A 13,637-nucleotide genomic window follows, 5' to 3' on the forward strand; every position below is an offset into this window, starting at 1 on the left:
ACTCAGCTGTCAGTCTCCTAAAAACTTTCTATTTTGCTCTATTTTGAATCTGCCTTTTTATTTTTCTATTTGCCAACTCTTACTAATGACAAAATACTTAGAGTCAAGAGAGCAGCTTCTCAAGCTGGAAGTAGCAATCAGTCTTTTTGGTTTTTAGGAAGCCAACTCTGGCAACAGACTAAAAGACAGACTGAAGAGAATAGTTATGAAACTAGCAATAGTCCAGTGAACGTCAGTTTCCAGGAAAAGGTGCTGGAGAGTGAGAGCAGCCAGAAGAGACAGGAAAATCCTCAATTAGAGCAGCCTGGTGGCTTGTGGGAATAAACGGAAGCCTTCGGTAGTAGTTTCCAAATCTGCTGATCAGCAGCAGCATCAGGGAAGTTTAAAGATATAGAAATATTACAAGATGGACTGGGAGGTTGGAGGGGTGCCCTCTGGAACCTCTATTTCTCAGATGAACAGCCAGATGGGGGAACCACTGTCCTGTCTGTCCCACCAGGGGTTATCCATGCACTACCGCCTAAGACCGAAGTCACGGTATTCAGTGCTTGATAACAGTTATCTTAGCAGCGGTCACCAGGAAAAGGCTAAGCCAACATGTAGTGCCCACCATCTAAGAGACCCCAAGCTCTAGATGTTTTCTTATGTATTTGTCATGATTTCTCTGTGAAAAAGGCATTTTTAAATCCCCATTTATCAGACAAGGAAATCAAGATTTTGAGGTCCAAGAACATGCCTCACAACACACAACTAATAAATGGCCCAATACCACCCATCAGATGGTTCTCTGGTTTTTTTTTGTTTGTTTCTTTGAGACAGAGTCTCGCTCTGTCACCCAGGCTGGAGTGCAGTGACACAATCTTGGCTCACTGCGACCTCGGCCTCCTGGGTTCAAGCAATTCTCCTGCCTCAGCCACCTGAGTAGCTGGGACTACAGGCACGCGCCACCACGCCTGGCTAATTTTTGTATTTTTAGTAGAGACAGGGTTTTGCCATGTTGGCCAGGTTGGTCTCAAACTCCTGACCTCAGGTGATTCGCCTGCCTCGGCCTCCCAAAGTGCTGGGATTATAGGCGTGAGCCACCACTCCCAGCCATCAGATGGTTCTTAATCAGGAGTGTGAGTCAGCACCTCATCTAGAAGCTCTAGGACAGTACACAAGTGTGGGCCCCACCCCTCACCTCGCTGCCTCCCCAGCTTTCTGCGGTGCGTACTGTTTGTTGAAACAGATAAGACTTATGTTCCATCACCAGGAAAACCAATGACCCTAGAATAAGACCCAATAAATAAGGTAATGACATACTTTAAAAAGTATTTGGAACTTGATCTATTCCTGGAGTCAAAAGACTTGCTTAATGTACCTCACACCCGTCTTTACTTCCTCGATTGGAAAAATGACAGAGGTGAGCTCTAATATATGGGATCGTCGAAGATTTGCCAGACGCTCATAATGACTTCTTAAGTCAATGGTCTTTTTTTCTACCAGGTCACCAAGTTTGCGATTATGCCTCTGAATCTTCTCCTTTTTCTCTTGGTGCCGTTGTGCTCGACTGTAAAGCTTCTGATTCTTTTCCTTGGTTTTGAGAAGGCCTTCAGAATCTAAAATAAATAAATCACACCCAACAATTATCTCTGCAAACAGTTCCTGTGTACTGCAGAGCTCCACCCCACAAACATGCGTGTTTTCCCTTGCAATCTAAACTGAAAGCAAAACCTGAATAATATAATGTTCACTAAGTGGAAAATTTGAGAGTTTAGTTCAAGTAGATATTACACATAAAGCAAAGAGAACCATGATTAAAATGACTCTGGATCTCTATTTGTAATCATCACTAGTAAAAGGAGTCACTCAACAACTATCGAGTTTAAGTTTAGCACAGGAAGGACCTGATTTTCCTACAGTGTGCACCAAAGAATAGTCACATTGGGCAGAAAAGAGATCTAATTCAAGTTTGAAAAACTTACTGGCTATCTGATTTCCCTAGAAACTTCTTAGGTGTGCCTTGGGCTATAATCAGAGAACCCAGGGATAATCTCACAGCAGGTGGTCATCCAGTAGAGGAGAAGGGCAAGAGAAACAGCCCAAGAGCTCTGAAAAGTCACAGTGGAGTGTGGCAGCAACCAGCAGGGTGGGTGGGAACACATCTGGTGAGGTATCTAGACACGCATGCCCAGCATTTTAAGTGCTGCAAGGGAAACAAAAGCCTGGCCACACAACCACGAGGAGACATACACTCGTCCTGTCAGATTTAGGTCCTTTTTGTGGAGTCCTTTTGAGTTCTGGATCCTACACCTGCTAGGGCTGTTGGGCTGTAGCTAAACTTCACTTGAATGACAAAAACAAGCTGTAAACTCTCAGACAGATATCTAGGAGTTGCTTAGGCAACTTAAACCCAAGTTCAAAATCAAGTTCATTATTTTTCCAGGAAAATCTTCTCCAGTTTCCCTACTTCAAGATTATTTTTGACGTGTCCACTGCCTAATCAACCCTTGATGGTCAATTCCATTTCCAGTCCAAGTCTGTCTATCTAGGCCTTTCTTTTCATTCCTACTATCACAATCCTAGTTAACGCTCACCAACACTCTGCCTATCTCCAACACGGCTCGACTCCACGCCTTCATGCCCTCTTTCACTTGCTCAATCTTTACAAATTATAGTCAATGCTCAGTGGTTCTCCACTGCCCATCAAATACAGAGCAAACCCCTCAGCCTCAAGGCCTCCTCCAAATTGGTACATATCCCCACAGTTCCCCTCTGCACACCCTTCGCTCTAGCTGTACTCAATTGCAACATATTTCAAATCCTTTCTGCAAGATGGAACCACTTGAACGTATGGATGGATGAATGCTGAATCAGTTATCACTCCCTAACACTCAGGCTATCTATTTGCTCCTGTTTTCTAAATGTTTGAATTTTACTCATTCAGGAAGGCCCCCCTCCATAAACACTCCCCAGACCTTTTGCTCTTCGGAACCCTATGGTAATGTGTTCAGACTCTTCTGATGGCGCATAGCTCTTGGTTCCTCAGATGAGGTCCCACTGAAGCCTTGCTGTCTCCTAACTAGGGTATAAAACGTACCTGATAAATGTCCATGGGTCCAAACCACCCTCCCACCCTCTTTCACTGAGCACCACTGAACTTAGGTATTTGGTTGCACGCATTAGATTTCTGACAGTTTTTTCGTTTTGAGACGGAGTTTCGCTCTTGTTGCCCAGGCTGGAATGCAGTGGTGCATCTCGGCTCACTGCAACCTCCGCCTCCCGGGTTCAATTGATTCTCCTGACCCAGCATCCTGAGTAGCTAGGATTACAGGCACACACCACCACACCCAGCTAATTTCTGTATTTTTAGTAGAGATGGAGTTTGACCATGGCTGATCTCAAACTCCTGACCTCAATGTGATCCGCCCGCCTCGGCCTCCCAAAGTGCTGGGATTATAGGCATGAGCCACTGCACCTGGCCAATTTCTTACAGTTTTGAAACAACAATCAGCCAGGTGTGGTGATGGGTGCTTGTAATCCCAGCTACTTGGGAGGCTGAGGCAGGAGAATTGCTTGAACCCGGGAGGTGAAGGTTGCAGTGAGCCGAGATCGTGCCACTGCACTCCAGCCTGGGCGAAAGAGCGAGACTCCATCTCAAAACCAACAACAACAACATCTCTTTGCCATCCTGCTTAATGTGAATGTCCTAAAGGTTCAGTCTCTTGGTTCCATCACATGCTAACTTATTTTCATTATCTTTACCAAGCTCTTTACAAGTGCTGAAATTAATCTATCCAGCCATGATTCTGAGTCATACAGTGGTCAGATTTCTGGGGGAAGATCCATTTCAAATTTATTATCATGACCACTTGCAGGTGGCAGGAAATCATCAGTCACCTCATCTGCACCCAGTGCAGACTCAGCAGGCAGTCATCCTCTCTCCCTACCATCTCCCCATAAACATCAAAATGTTTGGTGCTGTATCTGTAATCTACTCTTGCTTCTTTAGATAAGTAACTCTGACTAGAGCACAGATCAACTCAACACTGCAATGGCATATAACCTAACTTCCCTATCTATGCCCTATATCTGTATTATACTATATAATGTATATCATGAAACCTTAAGTCAAAAGATTCTAGAGAAATAATTCATCAGTCTCTACAATTTATAATTTGTGCCCTTTCATGACTACATGTCATAATTCAACAACAACAAGCTCTTAAGCATGAGTCCGAGCATAGTTTCTGGCCTCTAAAATTGTTTGCAAATTTTCTAAGTCTGGTCTAGAGGGTGGGAAGGAGACATGTACATTCTAAAAGAGCAGCAGTTCCCAACCCTGGCAAGTCATCAGAACCACCTGGAGTAGTGCTATTCAAAGTGTGGCGTCTAGATCTGGGCCCATCTGTAAACTGTTAACCAGTCATGATGAGAGGAGGACAGAAATACAGAGTAAGCACGTTGAAGCTTTTTTTTTTCAACATGGCGATTTGACATTGCCATCACGTTCAAGCATGTGATCATTTTCCTAAGTCCAGGATAGATCCTAGGGTTCTCTCTCTAGATTTTAAAAGGGTCACCAGGTGACTGATGATTTGCTAGGGATGGAAACCACTGTTATAGGGTCCACTCCTTTAGATCTATGTCTAATTCTTTGTGGTGGTTGTTTTTGTTTTTGGGAGTTAGGAATGTGTTAAAAAGAGCTGATCAGAGCTTTTAACATGCTCATCAGAGAAACACGCATGATCAGTAAATTCAGCAATTTTCAGGAGGTTCACAGATGCCCGGTGGCAAAGCCCTGAATATCATGGTAAGACGGGGAGAGCATGAACTAATGTTAAGGAATGGGTTTTGATGTTGCTACTGAACAAAGAGCCTTTGGAGAATGCATGCAAGACTGGGTGGAAAGTAGGTTCTATATAGTTCTGGGCACTGTTCAGTGTGCTGCCCTAATTCTCTAGTTTAGTAATCCCGTGAAACTCCACGTGAGCACTTTATTAGGACAAATGTTTTCAATGGAAGCTTTACACCATTACATGCCACTATAAAAGACTTGCTTCTGGAAGCAATGAGTAGACAAGAAAAAGGGATTCACGAGGTCTGATGGTGACTCATTCTAAACTTTAAACAGTGATCTTCAGAAATTCATGGACTGCAGCTTGCTGCCGGCACTCATTTAATGTTACATAAACATGCTCTTTGAGTCTGAAGTAAATCTGATTTTCAATGTGAAAATAAAATATAAAAACTGCTCTTGGAGTTATTTCTAAACAGAACTTGTCTCTAATCCTAATGTAATAGAAATGTATATGATGTTACATTAGGATTAGAAACGAGTATTCTTGGGGCAAATGGGAAGTGGCTTAAGGATGTAGGACTTCTAAGAGAATTCATTTTGACAACGATCTATGATAAAGTATAAAGTGTACAAATATGATGTAAGATTAATACAGATTACAATGTGGAGACTCACTAAGGGAAAAAAAAAACAATATTCTGTGCTTCTGGCATGGGCCAATAATTATTACAAGTGAGTACCAAGTTAAGACTCTGAGCTTCCTGCTAGCCAAGGCAAATGGGAACATACATTCCTTAACTTTTTTTTTTGAGACAGAGTTTTGCTCTTGTTGCCTAGGCTGGAGTGCAATGGCACGATCTCAGCTCACCGCAATCTCCGCCTCCCAGGTTCAAGCAAGTCTCCTGCCTCAGCCTCCTGAGTAGCTGGGATTACAGGTGCCTGCCACCACGCCCGGCTAATTTTTGTATTTTTAGTAGAGATGGGGTTTCACCATGTTGGCCAGGCTGGTCTCAAACTCCTGACCTCAGGTGATCCACTCCCCTCGGCCTCCCAAAGTGCTGGGATTACAGGCATAAGCCACCGTGCCTGGCCAACTTTTTTATTTTTTTCTTTTGAGACAGAGTCTGGCTCTGTGCCCAGGCTGGAGTGCAGTGGCGCAATCTCAGCTCACTGCAAGCTCTGCCTCCTGGGTTCACACCATTCTCCTGCCTCAGCCTCCCAAGTAGCTGGGACTACAGGCACCCGCCACCACACCCAGCTAAGTTTTTGTATTTAGTAGAGACGGAGTTTCACCATGTTAGTCAGGATGGTCTCGATCTCCTGACCTTGTGATCCGCCTGCCTCAGCCTCCCAAAGTGCTGGGATTACAGGCGTGAGCTACCACGCCTGGCGCCTAACTTTTTTAATTGAGAAAAGAATCTGGTTATTTAAGGCCTCTGAAATTGTGTATTTAACTTTTAAAAATTCCTTATACAAATGTTTTACAAGGAAAGATGAGGGCGAGTAGTAAAATTCTCCAAGTTGCCACTGCCCCACCATCCCCTTCCTTTCTGTGTCCCTCTAGTTTATTAATCCCATGAAATTCCACATAGGCACTTTCTAGGGCTGGAAGGAAGGACACGAATTACTTACTTTTCTCCATTTCTTCATTTCCTTTACATATTGTTTGTTTTAACTGTTCAATCCTCATCTTGCAGGACATTATTTTCCATCTCTGAAAAAAGCATGTAATAAATATCACAAACGTTGGTCTCTTATGGTTAATATGATTATCTACCTGGGATCACTGCTTATTTTCAGATATGTCAGAAAACATAATGAAGAAAAAGACCTTATGTTATAGCTTTTGTAACTATGGAACATTACGAAAAAGAGAACGATGTTTTTCTAGTTCAATGCAGAGAAAAGAGAAATTAGGCCAGTGCGGTGGCTCACGCCTGTAATCGCAGCACTTTGGGAGGCCAAGGAGGGCAGATCAAGAGGTTAGGAGATCAAGACCATCCTGGCCAACATGGTGAAACCCCATCTCTACTAAAAAAATACAAAAATTAGCTGGGCGTGGTGGCGCATGCCTGTAATCCCAGCTACTCGGGAGGCTGCGGCAGGACAATCACTTGAACCAGGGAGGCGGAGTTTGCAGTGAGCCGAGATCACGCCACTGCAGTCCAGCCTGGCAACTGAGTGAGACTCCATAAAAAAAAAAAAAAAAAAAGGAAAGGGAAATTACGAGAAAGAAATTCACATAGTTTTGTATGTATCAGTAAGCAAAGAGAAAAAAGTTGAAGGACATTCTCTAAACCCGCTCTAGCTATATAGCTACTAGCCACATGTGGTTACTTAAAACTCAATTTAAATCATACAAAATCAAAAATTCAGTTCCTTACTCACACCACCCTCATGTCAAATGTTTGACATCACATATGGCTAGTGGCTAATGGACTGGACAGCGCAGATACAGAACTCAAGCATCATCACGCAAAGTCCTACTGACGTGCAGCTCCAAACCTCTAGTTCTGGTTACTGAGGAGACGGTTAACATAACCAAGTCATCTCACCCAATAAGCAACTAGTACTTGCAAGTTAATAAAAATGGCAAAAAACATTATTTTTTCAGTGCATAACTCAAGTAAGATTTCCTGAAAAGCCTCAGAAAATTATATGAAACATGAAATTGACTCTTTATATTACCAGGAGTTAGGTTCAGCACCCCCTAAAGCAGTGGTCCCCAACTTTTTTGGCACCAGGGACCAGTTTTGTGGAAGACAATTTTTCCACGGACAGGGTGGCAGATGATTTACAGGAATGAATCTGTCCCACCTCAGATCATCAGGCTTTAGAGTCTCATAGGAGTGCACAACCTAGATCCCTCGCATGTGCAGTCCATAATAGAGTTCGCACTCCTATGGAAACTAATGCCACCACTGATCTGACAGGAGGTGGAGCTCAGGTGGTAATGCTCACTTGCCCTACTCACCTCCTGCTGTATGGCCTGTTTCCTAACAGGCCACAGCCCAGTAGGTATATGTGGCCTGGGGGTTGGGGACCCCTGCCTTAAAGTGAACAAAGGATCAATAAAAATAGGATCTATGGCCGGGTGCAGTGACTCACACCTGTAATCCTAGACTTTGGGAAGCTGAGGCAGGCACATCACTTGAGCTCAGGAGTTCGAGGCCAGCCTGGGCAACATGGCGAAACCCCATCTCTACCAAAAATACAAAAAATTAGCCAGGTGTGGTGACATGCATCTATAGTCCCAGCTACCAGGGAGACTGAGGTGGGAGAATCGCTTGAGCCCAGGAGGCAGAGGTTGCAGTGAGCCAAGATTGTGCCACGGCACTCCAGCCTGGGTGATATAGCAAGACTCCACCTCAAAAAAAAAAAAAAAAAAAGAAGGATCTACTAGTTAGTTAAAAAGAATGATTATTCTCTAATGACTCCGTAAAGTGAATAATTAAAAGCTTAAAACAATGCTCAAATGTTCATGGTGTTACACTTATCTAAGTAGTCTGATGGTAAGAGACACAGAACAGATTACAGGGATGTTATGGTGAGCGAAACTCTAACATCTCGAATAGAGTCAGACATTCAAAAACAGATCCACAGGGACTGAGGGGTTCAGAAATATATCAGATATGACCTATCCTCAATTTTAAAAGGTAACAGAGTCTTTAGAAATGAATATTGAAGTCTTAGATAGAAAAACTAGAAACATTACAGAAAACTCAGGAAAATCTTCCACAGAACATGTTTTGTTTACTAAAACATTCAGAGAATAAGCAAAATTCACTTCTATCACAAATTTTAAGTATAATGAAATATATGACTGGGCGCGGTGGCTCACGCCTGTAATCCCAGCACTTTGGGAGGCCAAGGTGGGCGGATCACGAGGTCAGGAGATTGAGACCATCCTGGCTAACACGGTGAAACCCCGTCTCTACTAAAAAAACACAAAAAAACTTAGCCGGGCGTGGTGGTGGGCGCCTGTAGTCCCAGCTACTCGGGAGGCTGAGGCAGGAGAATGGTGTGAACCCAGGAGGTGGAGGTTGCAGTGAGCCGAGATCGCGCCACTGCACTCCAGCCTGGGTGACAGAGCGAGACTCTGTCTCAAAAAAAAGAGGAAAAAAAAAGAAATATATGAATAATGTTTACTGTTGTGAAAAAAAATTACACATTACAGAAGAAAAACAGAAAATGTGACTGTTAGCCTGACTCCTTCCCATTTCTCAGGGGTAATCCTTTAAAATTAAAGTTTAATGTGTATCTTTTCAGATTTTTTTTTTTTTTTGAGTCAGGGTCTCACTCTGTTGCCCAGGTTAGAGTATGGTGGTGTGATTACAGCTCACTTCAGCCTGACCTCCCTGGCTCAAGTGATCCTCCCACCTCAACCTCCCAAGTAGCTGGGACTACAGGTATATACTACCATGCCTGGCTAATTTTTGGTTTTTGTTCGTTTTTGTAGATATGGGGTTTTGCCATGTTTCCCAGGCTGGTTTTCAATTCCTGGGCTTGAGCAATCCACCTCGGACTCCCAAAGTGCTGGGATTACAGGGCATCCACCACCACACCCAGCGCAGATTTTATAAGAGTATATTTATATTTAAAATACATAAATGAAATCATACTTTATCCTAGTTTATTATTTTTTTCCATTAATAAATACAACTTGGACATCATTCCACAGCACGTAGACTGACCACATTCTTTTTAACAACTACACAGTATCATAATTTTTTTTTTTTTTTTTTTGAGATGGAGTGTTGCTCTGTCGCCCAGGCTGGAGTACAGTGGCGCAATCTCGGCTCACTGTGATCTCTGTCTCCTGGGTTCAAGTGATTCTCCTGCCACAGCCTCCTGAGTAGCTGGGATTACAGGCGTGTGCCACCATGCCCAGCTAATTTTTCTATTTTTAGTACAGATGGGGTTTCACCATGTTGGTCAGGCTGGTCTCGAACTCCTGACCTTGTGATCCACTTGCCTCAGCCTCCCAAAGTGCTGGGATTATAGGCATGAGCCAACGTGCCTGGCCCTTTTTTTCCTTCATAATTGAGATTTCACTGGTTGTGTTGAAGATCAGTACACAGACATTTCAATTTGTACCCAATTCTTAATATACATACCCAAAATCTAAAAGCCATGTATTTTAATTCTTTTTTAAAGTTATTCCAGTGACTTTCCAGCTTAAAATCTGGAAGCAAACTTTCCTTATAAAGTCATCAAGTACCACTATCTTCACACATTGATAAGCTGTTACGCATGTCCCACCAATTCACAACTGAATAGCATGTACACTACAGATTCAAATTTTCAATCTTTCACAGCACTGTATCAAAGTTATTAGGAAAACAGGACTACCACGACCAAAGAGCTCACAGAGTGCACGAAATTCTGACAGGGAGAGCCATCATCAAGGAGCAGTTTTCTTTAGGAAACAGTTCTACTAAAAAACAACACGGGAACAGAAGTAATTAAAAATGTTCAATACATTAAATGCAGGACTGTGACTCCATAGTGCCATTTAGTATGCCTGGTATTATAGGATATAAAAACTAACCCCCCAACTACGGAATGCTAAGCTGACACCCAAGACAGTAAAAGCCTCCCACTACTCAATATCCCACACTGTCTTCTGGTTGTACCAAAAAGTAAACAACCAGAGAATGATTTCACCTCCTAAAAAAAAGCACTGACACTTCAAAGGGGCTCTCCTCAGTTTTAGTTTCTTGTTTTCTGCAGGTAAATCTTCAGTTTCTTGGTTAGCCACTTCTGACTTTTCCCCCTTTGCTCCCCTTTTCCCTTTTGTTTGCACTTTTTTGTCTGAAGATTTATCCTTTCCTGCTGCTTTCTCAGCTTCGTTTCCACTTTTGCAGGAGCAGGTTCAGCTGATAAGCGTGCCGATCTCCTCTTGGGCTCTTCCTCTGTGGCCCATTCAGTGGAGCTGACCTTCCTCTTGGGCATCCTGGCTGCAGGGAAGGCGTGTGCCAAGCGCCTGCGAGGCATAGTGCATCTAGAGCCTCAGCAAAGCCGGGCTGCCTGGCTGCTGCCACGCCTCTCCCAAACTCTTTAATTGTTAAATTTTTTGTTTGTTTGTTTGTTTGAGGGAGTCTCACTTTATTGCCCAGGCTGGAGTGCTGTGGCACGATCTTGGCTCACTATAGCCTCTGCCTCCCGGGTTCAAGTGATTCTCCTGCCTCAGCCTCCCAAGTAGCTGGGATTACAGGCATTAACCCTTGCACCTGGCCGGAAGTTTTAAACTGTTATATGATCTGTCAAAATGCTTTCCTCTACGGTTTATAAAGGTTCTCCCCACTCCAAGATTATGTAAATAGCCACCCATATTTTCTTTGACACATTTAATCATTAATCCATTTGGAGTGTGTATGATAAATAATTTTTGCAAAAAAGAATAACAGCCCATTGTTTTTGTTTTTCTATGTCAACATGTCAGGTTTCATAATTATCCTTTACAATGGCTCCATAATTAATTGCCGATACCCCATTTTTGGTAACTAGATGAAATATTTGAGAAAGCCACGCTACAAGTGGATTAAGTAGAGGACTGCTAAATACGATTTTTAAAAATTTTAATTAAAAATAATTTTATAAGCTCTACCAACTTAAAAACATGTAGCCTCAAGTAAAAAGAACATGTATTACAACTTACCAACTGATCTGTTATCCATTTTCCTTCCATAGCTTTTAACACTCTGTGAGGAAAAGAGACAGAAAATAAGCTCTTAAAAATAATAAAATTCTGTGAAGTTCAAAAATGTAAAATCAAACACTTAAAATTAAGTCCTTAGAAATGGCTAGAAATATCAAAACGGGACTTAGCATTTAAAGTGTTTTCCAAATTCCCTGTTCTCTGCAATTTTTTTCATCTCCTTCCTTTTGTAGTTCTGAATATTGCTAAGAGCCTTTCTACAAATGTCCACAATAAATCTGCCTAACAGTCTTAGCCTTTGTCCTCAGTCATCATCAGTAACTGCCATCCGTCATAATTCATAGCAATAGTTACAAGAGAATTAATGATCTAATAGTTCCCAAAGAAATGATACATGCCAGCATCTCCACATATTGGTTCTATGGAATAAAATGTTCTATGGGAAAAATAAAGTTTTTGTGTTTGAGTAATTAGGGAAATTGCAGAGTTAAATAAATTCAAGCAAGTTTCTCTAATACAGAATATCCTGGTAGATTTAAATTGCTCATGAATGTGTTTATCAGACCACTGCAAACTCTAGAGAAGCTTGGGTTACACTTTGGGAATCAGTGGCCTGAGCATTAACTGTTTTCATCGGGGGTGTGAGACATCCACGTTGGCATGGTTTGGGGAGATGCCACAAAAGAGACAACCCTTTTAGAACCTTGAGAGTTGGGCAGGGCGTGCTCAGAGAAGAGGAAAAGCACTGAGGTAAAGAGAAACTGAATGAAGGCACAAGAGATGCAAACCTCTAGGGTGCATCTAGGGAGCAGGTTTTATACCAGAAGGTTCTATAGGACAATTCTCAATCCTAGGGGGTCAGAGATTCATCAGGGGTGCCTGTTAATAACTCAGATTCCCACCATTCCCCCCCACAAAAAAAACAAACCTCAGATTCCTAGGCCTCTCCCCAGAGCTACTGAATCAGAATCTCTGAGGATAGGATTCCAAGAATCTGAATTTTTAACCATTAACTCAGCTAATGAATTCTGATACAGGTAATGTGCAGACCATATGTTGTAAAATACTGATATGGACAAAAGAAGAATGGTAAATGGAAGCAGTAATGTCCTATGGGAGCCACCAGCACTAATTTAAGTCTACTAATCATGCTGACTGTCCTGGACCCACACATCAATTATCAGTGCCAGGGATTTGATTCACTGAGTATCTACTGTATACCACACACCGGATCTGAGGCCAGTATTTTCTAGAAACTTGGTAACTTCTCCTGCTTTACCTCTCCCACATGCACTCCTTTCCTACACTTTAAGAGGTTGTATCCTAAATTCAGTAAGTTAGCAATCCGTATATCTGCATACCACAGCACTGAATTCAACCAAATGTTGACTAGATCACCTCCACAAATTAAAAGACAAAACAAAACACTCACTCTTTCTGAAATTCTTCTTGCTTGCTCTTAAGTCGGCTTAACCTTTCCTTCTTGTCGATAAACCTGTAACAAAAAAATTCAATGTCTTATTTAAATGGTCATTTTTTCAGTTCAATGAGACTATGCAAATTCCCAAGAACCAATCATTCTGCAGAGTCATGTGAAAATGTCATTGTCCTGATAGTAAATACACGTCTTCTCAACGGGGTGCACACAACTGCTAACCATTTGGTTCTTTTAAAACTAAGCTCAAATCCTCAACTTTAAAATTATTTCCTGTGTTTATAAAATATGTCTATAGATATCTTCCGCCCAGATTAAATTATTTGTCAAAACAGGCACATCAGAACACTAAAGTGAATTTGAATTCAAGGAAATTGATGCTTTCACTAGAAAACAAATTTTAATTACTAATCTGGATTCAATCCTGCTCTCTCCTATAAACTGATTCCTTATAATAAATTTTTAAAAATTGTAGACTTTTTTTCACTAATTTTATTGCTAGTTATCATAGGCTAAAAAATTACTTGTAAAAGTTATCAAAAAGAAGAGGTATCACATTGCAGTAATTCTTTTTTTTTTTTTTTTTTTTTTGAGATGGAGTCTCATTCTGTCACCCAGGCTGGGGTGTAGTGGTGCGATCTTGGCTCACTGCAAGCTCCGCCTCCTGGGCTCACGCCATTCTCCCGCCTCAGCCTCCCAAGCAGCTGGGACTACAGGCGCCTGCCACCATGCCCAGCTAATTTTGTTTTTGTATTTTTAGT

General features: G+C 42.1%; 2 protein-coding genes and 1 pseudogene across 5 annotated transcripts in view; 1 reads left to right on the forward strand and 2 right to left on the reverse strand.

The window, feature by feature from the left end:
* FBXO34 (F-box protein 34) overlaps positions 1-13,637 on the forward strand; it is a 171,629-nt gene that overhangs the window by 113,078 nt on the left and 44,914 nt on the right. The gene's annotated exons all lie outside the window — the stretch shown is intronic.
* The window catches only part of ATG14 (autophagy related 14), a 45,440-nt gene that overhangs the window by 18,108 nt on the left and 13,695 nt on the right, over positions 1-13,637 (reverse strand). Inside the window, exons 2-5 of one of the 2 annotated variants that reach the window (NM_014924.5) lie at positions 12,874-12,936; positions 11,442-11,484; positions 6,413-6,494; positions 1,361-1,598 (exon numbers count right to left, since the gene is read on the reverse strand). In NM_014924.5, coding sequence (NP_055739.2) covers positions 1,361-1,598; positions 6,413-6,494; positions 11,442-11,484; positions 12,874-12,936 — 426 coding nt within the window. Of the gene's footprint in view, positions 1-1,360; positions 1,599-6,412; positions 6,495-10,150; positions 10,219-11,441; positions 11,485-12,873; positions 12,937-13,637 lie in introns of those variants that run through there. The other variant, XM_011536563.3, reaches the window with a different exon arrangement.
* HMGN1P1 (high mobility group nucleosome binding domain 1 pseudogene 1) lies at positions 9,817-10,829 on the reverse strand (annotated as a pseudogene).

The sequence above is a fragment of the Homo sapiens genome, chromosome 14, assembly GCF_000001405.40.
Source record: "Homo sapiens chromosome 14, GRCh38.p14 Primary Assembly".
NCBI classification, from domain to species: domain Eukaryota; kingdom Metazoa; phylum Chordata; class Mammalia; order Primates; family Hominidae; genus Homo; species Homo sapiens.